Genomic DNA, 19,972 nt, shown 5'->3' with positions numbered 1-19,972 from the left:
TTGAACAGCACAACCCAACGATACGCTGTTTACAGAAAAACTCACTTCAAATGTAATGACACAGGCAGGCTGAAAGTAAAAGGATAAAAAAGATATGTCATGCAAGCATTAATCAAAACAAAGCAGGGAAAAAATTTTATCTGGGCATGGTGGTGCATGCCTGTGGTCCCAACTGCTCCAAAGGCTGAGATGGAGGATTCCTAGAGCCCAGGAGTTGGAGGGTGCAGTGAGCCATGATCGCACCACTGCACTCCAGACCAGGTGACAGAGTGAGACCTCATCTCAAGGAGGAAAAAAAAAAAAAAAAAGCAGGGCCAGGCACAGTGGCTCACACCTGTAATTCCAACACTTTCAGAGGCCAAGGCAGGAGGATCACTTGAGGCTAGGAGTTCGAGACCAGCCTGGGTAACACAGCGAGACCAAATCTCTACAAAAGTAAAAATAAAAAAATTAGCTGGTCATGGTGGGACACGCCTGTAGTCCAAAGCTAGCAGGAAGGCTGAGGCAGGAGGATAGCTTGAGACCAAAATTTTGATGATGTAGGATTTTGAGGATTTTGAGGATGCAGTGAGCTATGATCACACCAATGCACAAAGCCTGGGTCACAGAACAAGATTCTGTCTCAAAAACAAAGAAACCAACAACAACAAAAAAAGCAGGAATGGTTACATTAATAAAGAGTAAAGCAGACTTCAGGGACATAGTAAAGATGTTAATCCCCCCAAATTAAGACACAAGTTTAGTGTACTTCCTATCAAAATCCCAGCAAAATATTTTATATAGATTATTTTATAATTTGTAACGAAAAGCAATGTAACTAGAATAGCCGAAACTATTGTGAAGAATAAAGTGGAAGGAATCATTCTAACCGATGACAAGACTTACTACATAACTACAGTAACAAGGACTTGTGTAGAGTGGTGGACACATACATCATCACAACAGAACAGAAACCTGGAGACAGACACACAAATATGCCCAAATAATTTTTTTTAATTACAAAGATACAAAAGCAATTCAACAAAGACAGCTTCTTCAAGAAAATGACGCTGGAGCAAATGACATCCAGACAAAAAAACTCAGCTCAAATCTCAGTTTCTAAAAAAAAAAACTCAAAATGGATCACAGACTTAAATGTAACACATTAAACAATACAACTTACAGGAAAAAATTAACATAGGAAAAAATCTGCAGGATCAAGAGCTAGGCAAAGAGATATTAAACTTGACACTAAAAGCACAATCCACTAAAGGCTGACCAATTGAACTTCACCAAAATTAAAAACCTCTGTCTGTAAAACAACCACTAAGTGGATGAAGACATGCTACAGATGGGGAGAAAACATTTGGAAACCACATATCCTCAAAACTTGACAGTACAACAACAAAGAACATGATAGAAAATGAGGGAAAGATACAGGCACGTTTCACCAAAGAACACAAACAGATGGCAAATAAGCACATGAAAAGATGTTCAATACCTTTAAGCATTAGGGAAATGCAAATGAAAGCCACACTGAGTTACCACTACACACCTATCAGTACAGGTAAAATGAACACTAGTGACAACAGCAAATGTTGGCAAAGATGCAAGGAAGCTGGAACTCTCATATATTGCTTTGGCAGTTTCTTATAAAATCAAATATGCAACTACCATATAACCCAGCATTTGCAGTCCTGGGCATTTATCCCAGAGAAATGAAGACATGCTGACAAAAAGAGCTATATACACTCACGTTTATAGCAGCTCCACTCACCATATCCCAAAACTAGTAACAACCTGGATGTTTACCGCAGCTCCACTCACAATCCCCCAAAACCAGAAACAACCCGGATGTGTTTACTGCAGCTCTACTCACGATATCCCAAAACTAGAAACAACCTAGATGTGTTTACCGCAGCTCCACTCACGATATCCCAAAACTAGAAACAACCGGATATCCTTTAATGGAAAAGTAGTTAAAGAAACTGTGGCGTTATCAGGCCGGCACAGTGGCTCATGCCTGTAATCCCAGCACTTTGGGAGGCTGAGGCGGGCAGATCACGAGGTCAGGAGATAGAGACCATCCTGGCTAACACGGTGAAACCCGTCTCTACTAAAAATACAAAAAAAATTAGCCAGGCGTGGTGGTGGGCACCTGTAGTCCCAGCTACTCGGGAGGCTGAGGCAGGAGAATGGCGTGAAGCCAGGAGGCGAAGCCTGCAGTGAGCTGAGATCGTGCCACTGCACTCCAGCCTGGACAACAGAGCAAGACTTCCTCTCAAAAAAAAAAAAAAGAAACTGTGGCGTATCCATACCATGAAATACTACCTACCAATGAAAGAATTATTAATACATGCAACGACCTGGATCAATCTTGAGAGAATTATGCTAGGTGAAAAAGCCAATTCCAAAAGGTTACATACTATATAATTCACGTAACACTGTTGAAATGACAAAATCATAGAAATGGAGAATCAGTGGTCACCAGAGGTTAAGGGGAAGGCAGGGACACAAGTGGGCTTGGAAAGGGAAACATGCTGGGTTCTGTAGGTGATGGAAATGCTCTGTATCTTGACTATATCAATGTCACTACTGTGCTTGTGATATTCCATTACAGTGTTATCACTGGGGGAGGTTCAGTAAGGGTACATGGGATTTCTCTATATTATTTCTTACAAGTGCATGTGAATCTAGTTACCACAAATAAAAAGTTGAGTTTTTTAAAAAAAGCAAAATAAAGACATTTCAAACCAAAAAAAAAACAAAAACTAAAATCAACAACAAAGTAAAATAAACAACCCCTGAGCATCAAAAAACAAAACAAAACAAAAGTAAGGAAAAATACCAAATGGAAATCTGAATACATAAAAAGGAATGAAAAGCAGTGAAAACAGTAAACAAGTAGGTAAACAGAAATGATTTCTTAAAAGCTTTAAACTATCTAAAACAAAACTTTTAAAATGAATTTAAAGAAAAAAATAATACAACAACGCATGACAACAATAGCACAAAGATGGGAAAGGAAAGATGGAGTATATTACCAAAATGTTCTTATACTTCACGAGAAGCAGAATATTGTTGTGTTTTGTTTTGTGACAGAGTTTCGCTCTTGTTGCCTAGGCTGGAGTGCAGTGGTGTGTTCTTGGCTCACTGCAACCCCCGCTTCCAAGGTTCAAGCGATTCTCCCACCTCAGTCTCCGAAGTAGCTGAGATTACAGGCATCTGCCACCATGTCAGGCTAATTTTTTGTATTTTTAGTAGAGACAAAGTTTCACCATATTGACCAGGCTGGTCTCAAACTCCCATCCTCAGGTGATCCTCCAGCCTCAGCCTCTCAAAGTGCTGGGATTACAGGCATGAGCCACTGCATCCTGCCTGTTTTTTTTTTTTTTTTTTTTTGTTGAGACAGAGTCTCGCTCTGTTGCCCAGGCTGGAGTGCAGTGGTGCAATCTCGGCTCACTGAAACCTCCAACTCCCGGGATCAAGCGATTCTCCTGCCTCAGCCTCCTGAATAACTGGAATTACAAGCATGAGCCACCACACCCGGCTAATTTTTGTATTTTCAGTAGAGACGGGGTTTTGCTATATTGGCCAGGCTGGTCTCGAATTCCTGACCACAAGTGATCTGCCCACCTCAGCCTCCCAAAGTGCTGAGACTACAGGCATGAGCCACTGGCACCGGCCTGAGAAGTGGAATGTTATTTGAAGGTAAACTGATACGTTAAAGATATAACCTAAAGTAACCACCATGAAAAAAAATATCAAAAATATGCCAATGAAGCAGATTAAATAAAATCATATATCAATCCAAAAGAAGGCAGGAAAAAGATTTTAAAAGACAACCAAGAATAAATGGGACAAATAGGAAAAAAAATAGCAAGATGGTAGATTTAAACCCATTCATACCAATAATCTCATTAAATGTAAAAGGTATAATGCCTCAAAATAAAAGGCAGAGGCTACTATTGGATAAAAAGCAAGATCAAATTAATAAGCTATTTATAAGAAATCCACTTTAAAGCTGGGCACGGGGGCTCACTCCTGTAATCCCAGCACTTTGGGAGGCCGAGGCAGGCAGATCACGAGGTCAGGAGTTTGAGACCAGCCTGGCCAATATGGTGAAACCCCATCTCTACTAAAAATACAAAAATTAGCCGGGTGTGGTGGTGCACCCGTAGTCCCAGCTACATGGGAGGCTGAGGCAGAAGAATCACTTGAACCTGGGAAGTGAAGGTTGCAGTGAGCCGAGATCGCGCCACTGCACTCCAGCCTGGGTGACAGAGCGAGAATCCGTCTCAAAAAAAGAAAAAAGGGAATCTACTTTAAATATACAGACAAAAATAAGTTAAAGATAAAAAGATGGAAAAAATATATCATGCTAACATGAATCATAAGAAAACTGGAGTGGGCTGGGCATGGTAGCTCACGCCTGTAATCCCAGCACTTAGGGAGACTGAGGCAGGCAGATGACCTGAGGTTAAGATTTCAAGACCAGCCTGGCCAACATGGTGAAACCCCATCACTACTAAAAATACAAAAGTTAGCCGGGCACGGCGGCGCATGTCTGTAATCCCAGCTACTTAGGAGACCGAGGCAGGAGGCAGAGTTGAACCCAGGAGGCAGAGTTTCCAGTGAGCCAAGATCATGCCAGTGCACTCCAGCATAGGTGACAAAGTGAGACTCCACCTCAAAAAAAAAGAGAAACGATACGAAAAAGAAAACTGGAGTGGCTTTTTTTTTTTTTTTTTTTGAGACAGGGTCTCCTTTCGTTGCCCTGGTTGGAGTACAGTGGCATAATCCTTCAACTCCCTGGCTCAAGTGATTCTCCTACCTCGGCCTCCCGAGTAGCTAAGACTATAGAAGAACACCACCACGCCTAGCTAATTTTTTAATATTTTATTTTTATTTATTTTTTATTTTTTGAGATGGAGTCTCGCTGTCGCCCAGGCTGGAGTGCAGTGGCGCGATCTCGGCTCACTGCAGGCTCTGCCTCCCGGGGTTTATGCCATTCTCCTGCCTCAGCCTCCCGAGTAGCTGGGACTACAGGCGCCCGCCACCTCGCCTGGCTAATATTTGTATTTTTAGTAGAGACGGGGTTTCACCGTGTTAGCCAGGATGGTCTCGATCTCCTGAGCTCGTGATCTGCTCGCCTTGGCCTCCCAAAGTGCTGGGATTACAGGCGTGAGCCACCGCACCCAGCCCAATTTTTTAATATTTTATATTATACAGAGAGGGTCTCACTATGTAGCTCAGGCTGGTCTAGAACTCCTAGCTTAACCCATCCTCCTGCCTCAGCCTCCCAAAGTGTTGGGATTACAGGCATGAGCCATCATGCCCAGCTTGGGGTGGCTAAATTTATCTCAGATGAAGTAGATTTCAGAGCAAAGAATATTATTTGGGATGAAGAGGGTCATTTCATAAATGGTAACGAAATGAGTTCATCAAGAGGGCATAACAGGCCAGGTGCAGTGGCTCAGACCTATAATCCCAGCACTTTGGGAGGCCGAGGCAGGTGGATCACCTGAGGTCAGGAGTTTGAGACCAGCCTAGCCAACACGGGCGAAACCCCATCACTACTAAAAAATACAAAAATCAGTCAGGTGTGGTGGCGCATGCCTGTAATCCCAGCTGCTCAGGAGGCTGAGGTATGAGAATCACTTGAACTTGAAAGGTGGAGGCTGCGGCGAACCAAGATCATACCACTGCACTCTAGCCTGGGCGCCAGCAGTTCAAGACAACTGTCTTGAAGCCAGGAGTTTGAGATGAGCCTGAGCAACTTAGTGAGACCCTATCTCTATTTAAAAAAAAAATTAGGCTGGACACAGTGACTCACGCCTGTAATCCCAGCACTTTGGGAGGCTGAGGCGGGTGGATCACAAGGCCAGGAGATAAGAGACCATCCTGGCCAACATGTTGAAACCCCATCTCTACTAAAAATATAAAAATTAGCTGGGTGTGGTGGCATGTGCCTGTAATCCCAGCTACTCAGGAGGCCGAGGCAGGAGAATCGCTTGAACCCATGAGGCGCAGGTTGCAGTTGAGCCGAGATCACACTACTGCACTCCAGCGTGGCAACAGAGCAAGACTCTGTCTCAAAACAAACAAACAAACAAACAAAAAAACAAAACAAAACAAAAGGCATGGTGGTGCATGTCTGTAGTCTCAGCTACTTGGGAAGGTGAGGTGGGAAGATCACTTGAACCCAGAAGGTTGAGGGTGCAGTGAGCTATGATGACACCACTGCACTCCAGCCTAGGCAACAGAGTGAGTGAGACCCTGTCTTTAAAAAAAAAAAAAAAAAAACTGACACATGACATATCAACATATCTGGGATACAACTAAAGTACCACTCATAGGGAAATTTATAGCATTTGACACTTACATTGGAAAAGAAGAAAGATCTCAAATCAAATGACCTAAGACTCCACCTTAAGACACTGGAACAGAGCACATTAAATCCAAAGTAAGCAGAAGAAATGGAATAATGACAATAACAACAAACATCAATAAAACACAAAACTGTAATGAAACAGAAAACTGTAACAATGAAACCAAGAGCTCGTTCTTTGAGAAGATCAGTAACATTAAAAAACTTCTGGTCAGATTGATCAAACGAAAAAGGAGACAGAAAGCTGGGTATGGTGGTATAATCCTAGCACTTTTGGAGGCCAAGCGGGGAGGATCATTTGAAGCCAGGAGTTCAAGACTACCCTGGGCAACATAGTGAGACCTCGTCTCTACAAAAATAATTTAAAAATTAGCTGTGTGTGGTGATGCACACCTCTAGCTACTCAGGAAGCTGAGGTGGGAGCACTGCTTGAGCCCAGGAGGTGGAGGCTGCAGTGAGGTATGATCTTGCCACTGTACTCCAGCCTGGGCAAAAGAGCAAGATCCTGTCTTCTAAAAACAAAACAAAGAAAAGAAGAATGTAGTTTAAAACCTGCCCATGAGAAACTGCAAGGTCCAGATGGCTTCACTGCTGAAATCTAGCAAACATTTAAAGAAGAAATAACATCAATTCTGTACAAACTCTTCCAGGAAACAGATGCGAAGAAAACATATCCCAACACATGCCATGATGCCAACATTACCCTAATGCCAAAACAAGAAAAAAAAAAGGCATTATAAGAAACTATAGGCTAATAATACTTACGAAGACAAAACTGTTTTACAATTTTAGCAAATCAAAGCCAGTAATACATAGAATAATGCATCATGACCAAGTGTGAGTCATCTCAGGAATGCAAGGTTGGTTTAACATTCAAGCATCAAACAACTCAACCTGGTAAAAGGCATCTATGAAAAACCTACAACACCATACTTAATGGTAAAAGACTGAATGCTTTTCCTCTAAGGCTGAGAAAGAGACATGGATTTTTACTCTTATCACCTCTATTTAACAATGTAATGGAGGTCTCTTTACTAGAAAAAAACAGCAAGAAAAATTAATAAAGAACCTACACAGACTGGAAATGGAGAAGTAAAATTATCTTTATTCACGTATCACATAGTTGCGTCTATAAAATCTTAAGGGATCTTAAAAAAAAAAACCTACTAGAATTAATAAGTGACTTAAGGTTCCAAGATATAAGATCAAAATCTGAAAAATGTATTTCTATATGCTAGCAATAAACAATCAGTAAGTTGAAATTTTAAAAATAAAATACCCTTTGTAATAGTTAATGAAAATATTTATTCCAGCCGGGTGCAGTGGCTCACCCCTGTAATCCCAGCACTTTGGGAGGCCGAGGCAGGTGGATCATTTGAGGCCAGGAGTTCGAGACCAGCTTGGCCAACAGGGTGAAACCCCATCTCTACTAAAAATACAAAAATTAGCCGGGCATGATGGTGGGCACCTGTAATCTCAGCTACCCATGAGGCTGAAGCAGAAGAATTGCTTGAACCCAGAAGGCAGAGGGTGCAGTGAGCCGAGATTGTGCCACTGCACTCCAGCCTGGGCAACGAGAAACTAAAGATGGCCTAGGCCAGGCATAGTGGCTCATGCCTGAAATCCCAACACTTTGAAAGGCTGAGGCAAGAGGCTGGGCACAGTGTCTCATGCCTGTAATCCCAGCACTTTGGGAGGCCGAGTCGGGCAGATCACTTGAGGTCAGGAGTTTGAGACCAGCCTGGCCAACACTGTGAAACCCCATCTCTACTAAAAATACAAAAATTAGCTAGAAGTGATGGTGCGTGCCTGTAATCCCAGTTACCTGGGAGGCTGAGGCAGGAGAATCACTTAAACCGAAGAGGTGGAGGTTACAGTGAGTGGAGATAGTGGCACTGCACTCTACCTGGAGTGACAGAGCAAATAAAAAGGGCCGGGCGCAGTGGCTCACGCCTGTAATCCCAACACTCTGAGAGGCCGAGGCAGGCAGATCATGAGGTCAGGAGATCAAGACCATCCTGGCTAACACAGTGAAACCCCATCTCTACTAAAAATACAAAAAAATTAGCCGGCGTGGTGGCAGGCACCTGTAGTCCCAACCACTCAGGAAGCTGAGGCAGAAGAATGGCGTGAACCCGGGGGCGTAGGTTGCAGTGAGCCGAGACAGCGCCACTGCACTCCAGCCCGGGCGGCAGAGCGAGACTCCGTCTCAAAAAACAAAAACAAAAACAAAAAAAGGCTGAGGCAAGAGAACCGCTTAAGCGTAGGAGTTCAAGACCAGCCTGGGCAACATGGTGAGACTGTCTCTACAAAAAAACAAAAAATTAGCTAGGTGTTGTAGCACATGCCTGTAGTCCTGGCTATTCATGAGGCTGAGGCAAGGGGATCCCTTGAGCCAAGGAGGTCAAGGCTGCAGTGAGCTCTGACTGTGCACCACTGTACTCTAGCCTGGGCAACAGAGCAAGAATGTCACTAAAAAAAAACAAAACAACAACAACAACAAAAAACAAGGCCTAAATGAATAGGTATACCTTGCTTGTGAGTCAGAAAATAATACTGTTTAGGTGTCAATTCACATCAAATTGATTTAAATATTCAGCACAGTCCCAATCAAAATACCAGGAAGATTATTTGTAGAAATTCACAAAGTGATTCTAAAATTCATTTGAAAATACAAATGGCCAAGCAACCATGAAGAGCCAGAACAACTTTTTTATTTTGGTTGACGTAAGATCTCACTCTGCTGCCCAGGCTGCAGCGTACCTGCACAATAATGGCTCACTGCAGTCACCACCTCCTGAGCTGAAGCGAGCCTCTCACCTCAGTCTCCCAAGTAGCCAGGACTAGCGCTTGCCGCCACACCCAGAGAATTTTTTTTATTTTTTGTAAAGACGAGGTCTCACAATGTTGCCCAGGCTACAGCATAACTCGGAGAAAGAACAAAGTTGGAGGACTTACCTGGTTCCAAAACTTTTTTTTTGAGACAGCATCTCACTCTATCACTCAGGCTGTAATACAGTGGTGCAATCATAGCTCACGGCAGCCTCAAACTCCCAGGCTCAAGCAATCCTCCTGCCTCAGCCTCCGAAGTAACTAGGACTATAGGCATGAGTTCCCAGATGCAGCTAATTTTTTTTTTTTTTGGAGAGACAGGGTCTTGACATGTTGCCCAGGCTGGTCTCAAACTCCTGGGTTCAAACAGTCCTCCTGCCTCAGCCTCCCAAAACACTGAGATTACAGACATGAGCCACTGCAGTTGGCCACAAAACTTTAAAATATATAGTAATCAAAACATTGTGTTACGGTGTCAAGACAAACAAGTGATCAGTACAACATAATAGAGTCCAGAAATAGATCGTATTGATATGGCTTACTGATTTTTTTTCTTCTGTCTAAAGTGCTTCAATCACCTGATTTTTGATAAAGGTGCAAAGACAATTTAGTGACAAAAGGATTATGTTTCCAACAAATGGTGCTAGAACAACCGAACATCCATATGCAAAAAAATAAACTTGCTCCATCTTCACATCACAAACAAAAATTAACTCAAAATGGACCACTGACCCAAAAACAAAAGCTAAAACTTTAAGACTTCTAGAAGAAAGTATAGGAAAAATATTTGTGACCTGTAGGTAGGCAAAGTTTTTTTTTTTTCTTGTCTTTTCTTTTTTCCTTGAGACATGGTCTTACTGTCACCCAGACTGGAATAAAGTGGCACAATCATGGCTCACTGCAGCCTCAACCTCCTGGGCTCATGTGATCCTCCCACCTCAGTCTCCCAAGTAGCTGGGACTATAGGCGCACACCGCCAAGCCCAGATAATTTTTGTATTTTTTATAGAGACAGGGTTTCACCATGTTGCCCAAACTGGTCTCAAACTACTGAACTCAAGTGAGCCACCCGCCTCAGCCTCCCAAAACACATGAACCACCACACCTGGCCTAATTTTTGATTTTTTTTATATATAGAGATGAGTTCTCCCTACGTTGCCCAGGCTAGTCTTGAAATCCTGGGCTCAAGTGATCTACCTGCCTCGTTCTCCCAAAGTGCTGGGATTACAGGCATGAGCCACATACCCAGCCAAGATTTCTTAAAACACCTACAGCACAACGAATAAAAAGAAAAAAAAAGAAATGAAATTTCCCAAAACAAAAAATGCACTCTTTAAAAGACACTGAAAAGAATCAAAAGACAAATCCCAGCCTACATAATAAAAGACTTATATCGAGGATATATAAAGAACTCTCTAAGCTCAACAATAAGAAAACTACCAGTTTTCAAACGGGCAAAAGATTTCAACAGGCATTTTAGCAAAGGAAATATACGGATGGCAAATAACCACATGAAAAGATGTTCAAAACAAAAACAAAACAAAAAAGAAAAGAGGTTCAGCATTATTCATTATGAAAGTACAAATTAAAACCACAACAAAATACTACCACACTACACACCTATGGAGATGGCTAAAACTGAAGAAGACTGACCCCACCAAGTATTGGGAAGGATGTGGAGCAAATGGAAGATTCATTCACCAGTGGTGGGACTATAAAACACTGCAATCCCTTCTGGAAAGTCTGGAAGTCTCTTAAAATGTTAAAGTACACACCCACCCCAGGACCAAGCCATTTTACTCCTAGATATTTACCTAAGAGAAATGAAAACATGTCCTAACAAAGGCTTGTTTGCTAATGTTCATAGCAGCTTAATTTGTAACGGCACAAAGTGAAAAATGACCCAGATGCCCATCAATAGACAAATGGAGAAACAAATTGTGATCTAGCCATAAAATGGAATCCTACTCAACAATACGATCAAGTGATGCTACATGGCACAAATGGAATAATGTTGACAGGATTATGCTGAGTGAAAGAAGCGAGATAATATGAGAATATATACTGTACAATTCCACATAAGCAACACTCTAGAAAATCTAAACTAATTCATCTATAGTGACGGAAAGCAGATCAGTGGTTGCCGGGCAGGAGGGTGGGGAAAGGATGGAAAGGGTGATTTCAAAGGGGCATCGGGGAACTTTTGAGGGTGATGAACATGTTCATTATCTTAATCTTGATGCTAGTTCCACGGGTGTATACAAATGTCAAAATGCATCAAATTATGTATTTTAAATATGTGTAATTTGGTATATATCAATTATACTTCAGTAAAGCTGGGAAAAGAGAGAGAGAAAGAGAGGGAGGAAGGGAGGGAGGGAGGAAGCAAGCACAAAAACTACCAGTAGCATAAAAGATAGGCACCTAATTCTGGACATCGGGAGCTTCTGAATTTTGTCTTGGTCCTCTCTCTTGCTGTCCAGGTGCTAGTGCTGGGTTTTCATCCACACCCTACTTTCATTAAGCGCAAAAGTGATAGGAAAGCTGTCTGTGGGGAATGAATTATGGACTGAGAAAGGGAGAAAATGAGGGCAAACAGAACGTTAATTCTGGCATAACAAACACCCCTAGGTAGGTGGTGAGATTCTAGGTGATTTTTCTTTGGTTTCTTTAAGTTTTTCTGTACTTTCCAAATTCTTTACAAGCATTACTTGGCTCTTTGGAGGGAAAAAAAAATCAGTTTTAAAAGAACCAATTTAAATTCTCCATTAAGTAAAGAACTATTCAAAAAGAAACCAAGGATTTTTTTTTTTAAATCCTAGTAACTAATAGCCCCAGAACATACACACATGAATCTGAGCCATTAATTTAGATCAAAGAACAGGGAGACTGCATTTATAAAGAATGAAGGATATTTACAACATATGGAGAAGGCCAAAACCTCAAAAACGGATGTTCCAAATTCTGAAGGTTGATAGTCAACCACTGAGTTGGCTTCCATCTAATTAAAGACATTTTAATAAGCTTTAACTGATTTCCTGCCATGTAGGTTGAAGATGAAGTTCTCAAATGCTAAAGGGAAAGTCTAGTCTGAATTCCAGGAGGTTGCGGGCAGTGACAAGAGAGTCCCTCTCCTCTAAGGCTTATAAGCATGTAAATGATTGAGCCTTCCAACATGATATAAATGCCAGGAGAGGCAGGATTTCTTAACCTCGCCTGTCCCAAGTTGCTGGCATCAGACGTTTTTTTTTTTTTTTTTTGAGACAGGGTCTCTTTCTGTTGTCTAGGCTGAAGTACAGCAGTGCGATCACAGCTCACTGCAGTCTCAACCTTCCAGACTCAGGTGACCTTCCTGTCTCACCCTCCTGAGTATGCTGGGACTAGAGGTGTGTGCTGCCATGCTAGACTAATTTTTATTTTTATTTTTAGTAGAGATGGGGTCTTACTATGTTGTCCAGGTTGGTCTCCAACTCTTGGGCTCGAGTGATCCTTTCTCCTCGGTCTCTCAAAGTGCTGGGATTACAGGTGTGAGCCCAGCTAATGTCAGATATTTCTGTCACATTTTTTTAGTAAGTGTAGAAAACCAACAAGGAGTTCAGAAATGCCAAAAGCTGATAAAATGTTTCTTTTTAAATACCTTCACAGGTCTAATTAGGTGCAAAATGTTTTTCATGCAACCTGAATCCCAATCCTGAGTCCTCCTCCTTGGTTTCTAAAAGAATAAACCAACTTCTTAGTAATCATAGCACTCTTGGATTAATTCTTCACTTTCATTTCAGAGGAAAAAATGAAAGTAGGTTAGCGCACTACAATACTACAAACACAACACGGAACACTTACATGTTTTGGAGTGTTCATGTGATAGCATGTAATTGGCAAGAGGTGGTGTGTAGGTTAAACACTGCAGTGCTGCATTGGCAAAACAGGTATTGCCCAAATTCTGGAGCCCAGCTCCAACTCTATGAGTTTGTTGCCACTTAAGACAAATCTTCTCAGATGGGAAAAGAACTTTCTGTGGAGGAGCGATGCCATCACCTAGGGCTAGAAAAATAAACAAGAAAGAGTCAGAAACCAAGCTTTGCATACTGAAGCTAAATAAATAGTAACACCTGGTCAAACCTCAATCTTTACAAGATCCGAAATCTCATGACCAGCCTACCTGAAATACAGGGGGAAGAGGGACATTTTAAAAGACAGAAACCAGAACATGAGAAATTTTCAATGATCTGGTTTCTCCAGTAAACAAACTGCAAGGACAGAAAGGGGAGAGGGTTACAGATTTAAAGAAACTTGAGAGAAATATCTACCAAATGCAAAGTGTAGACTTCATTTGGATGCTGCTCTGAACAACTGCTTAAAAAAATATATATATAGGGCCGGGCACAGTGGCTCACGCCTATAATCCCAGCACTTTGGGAGGCTGAGGCAGGCGGATTATGAGGTCAGGAGATCGAGACCATCCTGGCTAACAAGGTGAAACCCCGTCTCTACTAAAAATACAAAAAATTAGCCAGGCGCGGTGACGGGCACCTGTAGTCCTAGCTACTAGGGAGGCTAAGACAGGAGAATGGCGTGAACCCGGGAGGCAGAGCTTGCAGTGAGCTGAGATAGTGCCACTGCACTCCAGCCTGGGAGACAGAGCGAGAGACTCCGTCTCAAAAAAAAAAAAAAAAAAAAAAAAAAAATATATATATATATATATATATACACACACACATACATATATACACACACACGTATTTTATGTATATATATTTTATATATACATAAAACAACAACCAGAGAAATATGAACACTGAATGACTGTTTCATGTAAATACATTTTTGATTTTTAGAAAAAACTCTTTAGATGTATACACTAAAATACAAGTGAAAGATGAAGTATTGGATTTGAGATAATGTCGTGGGGAGATAAGGAGGTGCTGGTATCACTGCCCGTAAGTTGATAAATGTCAAAGTTGGTTGACGGCTACATGAGAGTTCATTATAATTACTCTTTTATATCCACTTTGAACATTTAAAAAATAAATAATACAATCAATAGAAAAAATGAGATACATTTGATTCCTTGTAACATCTGCCATGGATGCTAATTCATTGCCACCATCACTGCCGTCCTTACCATCTCATGTAGGGAGCCCTTACTAGGCCAAATGGCTGCAATTCTAATGGCTGGTGCTGATGTCATTCCCATTTTACCACTAAGGAAGCAGGTTTTGAACTCAGGCTATCAGGTACCACTGTACACACTTGTGAGGAGACTACCTATGACCTAAAAATTTTGAAGATTATCAACAGATTACTAATAACTAAGTATGATAATGGAACTCAAGATGAAGCTCAAGAAACAACTTATTTAGGAAAGCTGAAAATCATCAATGGCAAGACTAATTTTTCAAAGGCTTTGGCAGTCCCCCAGTGCTCTAACAGAAGGCTGAGATTGGGTCGGGCACAGTGGCTCATGCCTGTAATCCCAGCACTTTGGGAGGCCGAGGCGGGCGGATCACAAGGTCAGGAGATCGAGACTATTCAGGCTAACACAGTGAAACCCTGTCTCTACTAAAAATACAAAAAATTAGCCAGGTGTGGTGGCAGGCACCTGTAGTCCCAGCTACTCAGGAGGCTGAGGCAGGAGAATGGTGTGAACCCGGGAGGCGGAGGTTGCAGTGAGCCGAGATTGCAACACTGCTCTCCAGCCTGGGCGACAGAGAGAGACTTCGTCTCAAAAAAAAAACAAAAACAAAAACAAAAAAAACCAAAAGGCTGAGATGCCATGTAGAATCATTCTCCATCTGAAGAGACTTATTAGTGGTTATTTAGGCAGGCGTAGGCAGGCTACAGCTTGGTGGGGAAAGGAGAGCAAAATTAGGACAAAAGAAAGGATTCTGTGGAGAATGAGATGAGAGCCCCAGAAAAGGGGAGAGTGGGGAGATGTGAGTTCAGTCCTAAGAAGAGAGAGAAGCCCCAGCAACATGACAGGAGGTTGAAGGCCGTGGAGAAAGAGGTCCTGTGGGAAAGTCCTGCTGGAGAGAAGCCAAAGGACTTTCCACCTCCATGTGCAACATTCGATTAGGTTGTGTTTCATGATATAAACTTCCCCTACCCAAAACACCTTCAGCAAGCCAAACTGCAACACCCACCCCCACATCACAATATGAAACTTACTGTTGTCCGGGTGCAGTGGCCTACACCTGTAATCCCAGCACTCTGGGAGGCCGAGGCGGGTGGATTATAAGTTTGAAACCAGCCTGGCCAGCATGGTGAAACCCCGTCTCTACTAAAAATACAAAAATGTAGCTGGGCATGGTGGCGCGCACCTGTAGTCCCAGCTACTCGGGAGGCTGAGGCAGGAGAATTGCTTGAACCCAGCAGGCAGAGATTGCAGTGAGCCGAGATCGCGCCACTGCATTCCAGAATGGGCGACAGAGCGAGACTCTGTCTCAAAAAAAAAAAAAAAAAAAAAGAAACTTACTAAAGGACTCAAAAACAACATGGCGATCAAACTACTCGAAGCCAGGGGGTGTCCAATCTTTTGGCTTCCCTGGGCCACACTGGAAGACAAATTGTCTTGGGCCACACGTAAAATACACTAACACTAACACTAACGACAGCTAATGAGCTTAAAAAAAAATCTCAAAAAAACTCAATGTTTTAAGAAAGTTTACGGATTTGTGTTGGGCTGCATTCAAAGCTGTCTGGGCTGCATGCTCTAAGCCAAACAACAATCTAACTAGGAAATTCTATTGTATTTCAAATCTTCATGTCCTCAAATGCAAAAGTCTTGAAGTACCAACTTAAAGTGTTACTGTCTCATTTATCTGGATGAGTTTTAACGAATGTAACCACATTTGTATCATTATAACAAATGTAACATTTGTGTTACATGCTCTCTTTTTTTTTTCTTTTTTCTTTTTGAGACAGAGTCTCACTCTGTTGCCCAGGCTGAAATGCAATGGTGCGATCTTGGGCTCACTGCAACCTCTGCCTCCCAGGTTCATGCGATTCTCCTGCCTCAGCCTCCCAAGTAGCTGGGATTATAGGCACACACCACCATGCCCAGCTAATTTTTGTATTTTTAGTGGAGATGGGGTTTCACCATATTAGCCAGACTGGTCTCAAACTCCTGACCTCAGGTGATCCACCTGCCTTGGCCTCCCAAAGTGCTGGGATAACAGGTGGAGCCACCATGCCTAGCCTATCTGCTCTCTTTCAAAGAGCTTTATTACTACGAATGATTTTTAACTGCCAGGAAAAAAACAAAAACAAAAACAAAAAAAACTGGGTAAAGCTCATTTGTCAAAAGACAACCATTTTACAAAACACCTTTAAATTTGTAAAAGTCATCTACTTAGGAAACTAGAATAACTACTGGTTAACAAGTTATTATAATGCTTGCCCATCTCAATTCTCACCAAGATAAAGTTTATTCTTAAAAAAAACTGGAATAAAAGGGCCTGGCGTGGTGGTTCATGCCTGTAATCCCAGCACTTCAGGACGCTGAGGTGGGTGGATCATGAGGTCAGAAGATCGAGACCATCCTGGCTAACATGGTGAACCCCCGTCTCTACTAAAAATACAAAAAAAAAAAAAAAAATTAGCCGGGCTTGGTGGCAGGCGCCTGTAGTCCCAGCTACTCTGGAGGCTGAGGCAGGAAAATGTCCTGAACCCGGGAGGCAGAGCTTGCAGTGAGTCAAGATCGCGCCACTGCACTCCAGCCTGGGTGACAGAGCGAGACTCCGTCTCAAAAAAAAAAAAAAAAATTGGAATAAAAGAAACTAATAATATTCTAGCAACTAAAAACAATCTACCCTGTTGTCAGTCAATGACGAACAAGTAACAGGAAAACAAAGCCCATCAAGTAATACAACTCTGCTGGCCACTCAGGTGGCCTCACGCCTTGCAAAATAAGCCCCTCTCTGAAACCACCAAGCCCCAGCAGCATTTACACAGGAGTTTCTGGCGGTAATTCTCTCTTTTGAAAAACAGTACCTTGATCCTTTTGTGGTGATGGTTTTGATTTATCAGGTACAGATGAACTCGAATAAACTACAGCACCAGGTACTGGTCCTAAAGAAAGTGTGTGATTTGACACATCATTCAATGAAGACACAGCACCCCAGCTGGCAGAACCTGCATCCATGTCTCCAGGTGAGACTGCCTCGGAGCTGCCAGGCTGATTCTGATAGGCTGATGGGTCTGAAGATTCAGAAGCTTTGTCAACTATGGTCATTGTTCAACTCTGCAAAAGATGAAAAGTATGTATTTGTTTCATCAGGTGAGAAAAGCAATCTCCTTACCCTACCGTTAGATCTTGGAAGATCATTCCAGCCATTTTAAAGTGATTTTCAAACACATCACTCAAATATAAAAACAATAGTACTTTCTAACATTTCTGTAATAATCCCCTTGGGACATTTAGCATCATGATAATCTGAATGTCAACAATCTTTATTTTAAAATCTTCAGTGAAGTATTTGATTAAAAGAACTTCTCATTTTCATTTCATGCCCCCTAAAAGTCTGGCATTTCAGTTTATAATTGGACATTTCAATTCTCAGTTCTGTTTATTTACTAAGTACCTATATTTTCCTTCTATACTGCTTAAAACTAGAAAAATTATACACAGTAATACATTTGACTACATCTTCAATTTGAGTATAATTCCTCAGAGAAAAGCATCAACTACACAGAAAAAATCTAGACTTAATTTTGTGCTTAAAGTGCAAATGGCACCAAGTGAAATACATTATATTTTTTAAAATTATAATTATAGAGATCTCACCTTTAAAACCATTTTTCTGAAGAGGCTCATTTATATGGAATGTATGACTTTTTAAATAAAACCCGTAAGCCATTACTGATATCAAACTCAAACACAAATATCTGTTATGAAAGGACTTGATTATAATTTTCTTTCTGAGTCCTATTTTAAAATATTAGGGCTACCACTAATTGAGCATTTTCTATGTACTGGGCATTGCATCAACTGCTGGACATACATTAACTTAATTTTTATAAAGAACGTATGAGAGATCAGACAGAATCCCCAGGGCCTATAAAATGAAGCAACCAGTCAGCAACTGGGACTGAGAGCCAGGTCCAGCGTTCCCAGCCAGGCTTCCTTCTGGTTATGCCACCCTGTCAACAGAAGGCTTTTAGGGATATTTCTAAAATCGCCCAACAGTAGCCACATCTAGACATGCCACTCCTATGTAGAAAACCTTTCAGGAGGCCGGGCGCGGTGGCTCATGCCTATAATTGCAGCACCTTGGGAGGCCAAGGTGGGCAGATCGCTTGAGGTCAGGAGTTTGAGACCAGCCTGGCCAACATGGTGAGACCCTGTCTCTACGAAAAACAAAAATTACCCAGGCATGGTGGTGCACACCTGTAATCCCAGCATTTTGGGAGGCCGAGGCAGGTGAATCACCTGAGGTCAGGCGTTTGAGACCAGTCTGGCCAACATAGTGAAACCTCATCTCTACTAAAAATACAAAAATTAGCCGGGCGTGGTGGCACGTACCTGTAATCTCAACTACTTGGGAGGCTGAGTCAGGAAAATCGCTTGAACCTGGGAGACAGAAGTTGCAGAGAGCCAAAACCGTGCCACTGATATCCAGCCTTGGTGACAGAGCAAGATTAAGTCTCAAAAAAAAAAAAAAAAAAGGCCGGGCGGGGCGCAGTGGCTCACACCCCTGTAATCCCAGCACTTTGGGAGGCCAAAGTGGGTGGATCACTTGAGTCCAGGAGTTCGAGACCAGCCTGGCCAACATGGGGAAACCCCATCTCTACTAAAAATAAAAAAATTAACCAGGCATGGTGGCGCACGCCTGTATTCCCAGCTACTTGGGAGGCTGAGGCAAGGAAAATTGCTTGAACCTGGAAGGCAGAGATTGCAGTGAGCCGAGATCATGCCACTGCACTCCAGACTGACATAGAGAGACTCTGCCTCAAGAAAAGAAAGAAAGAAAAGGAAAGGAAGAAAGAACACCTTTCAGGAGTGGCCCAACTGCCCACAGCACAACATCTTAATGTCTGGACTTCACATTGTCTGACCTAATAACCTCGCCAAACACCCTCTCCGTCACGTTCCCACCATGCTGAAGTCTTGTTTTTTTTTCTTTTGTCCCTGCTGTCTCTGGGCTCTGCACATGCTGTTCTTTTCTCCGACTCTTTTCCAACCTTCCACCTCCAGCCAGTTCACACTTCCACTTCTCAGTTTAGACTTTACTTTCTCTGGGACACTTTCCTTGACATCACCATTCCCCCAAGACGGGGTTAGAAACCCCTCCTCAAGGCCCCCACAGCACCCTGTGCTGATTTCTACGGTACTGTGCTGGCATCTACTCCACAGCTGTTTTACTTGCTGTTCTCTACCATGTTCTTATTCACATCCTCTGACCTGGTGTAGAGAAAGCTTTCCATACATGTGGAGAACAACTTAATGAACAAAGTCTGGGAACAGAAAACAACTAGCGTTTGCTTTTAGCACCAGCTTGTGCTGAATGATTAACATACAGTATATCATTTGATCCTTAAAAAACTCTGGAGTAGAAATGGCCTTAAAAAATTTTTTTTTTAATATTGAGGCTGGGCGCAGTGGCTCACGCCTGTAATCCCAGCACTTTGGGAGGCCAAGGCGGGTGGATCACGAGGTCAGGAGATTGAGACCATCCTGACCAACATGGTGAAACCCTGTCTCTACTGAAAATACAAAAATTAGCTGGGCATGGTGGTGCGTGTCTGTAATCCCAGCTACTCGGGAAGCTGAGGT

General features: G+C 42.3%; 1 protein-coding gene across 19 annotated transcripts in view; it reads right to left on the bottom strand.

The window, feature by feature from the left end:
* USP42 (ubiquitin specific peptidase 42) overlaps positions 1-19,972 on the bottom strand; it is an 80,324-nt gene that overhangs the window by 33,000 nt on the left and 27,352 nt on the right. For 16 of the 19 annotated variants that reach the window (XM_047420940.1, XM_047420938.1, XM_024446969.2 and 13 more), the window contains 2 exons: positions 17,191-17,440; positions 13,042-13,242 (listed from right to left, as the gene is read on the bottom strand). In XM_047420940.1, coding sequence (XP_047276896.1) covers positions 13,042-13,242; positions 17,191-17,431 — 442 coding nt within the window. In that variant the 5' untranslated portion in view covers positions 17,432-17,440. Of the gene's footprint in view, positions 1-6,364; positions 6,420-11,625; positions 11,729-13,041; positions 13,243-17,190; positions 17,441-19,972 lie in introns of those variants that run through there. The other 3 variants (XM_047420943.1, XM_047420944.1, XM_047420945.1) reach the window with 3 other exon arrangements.

Source organism: Homo sapiens, chromosome 7, assembly GCF_000001405.40.
Source record: "Homo sapiens chromosome 7, GRCh38.p14 Primary Assembly".
Lineage (NCBI taxonomy): Eukaryota > Metazoa > Chordata > Mammalia > Primates > Hominidae > Homo > Homo sapiens.
This window is presented reverse-complemented; position numbering and strand designations above follow the sequence as displayed.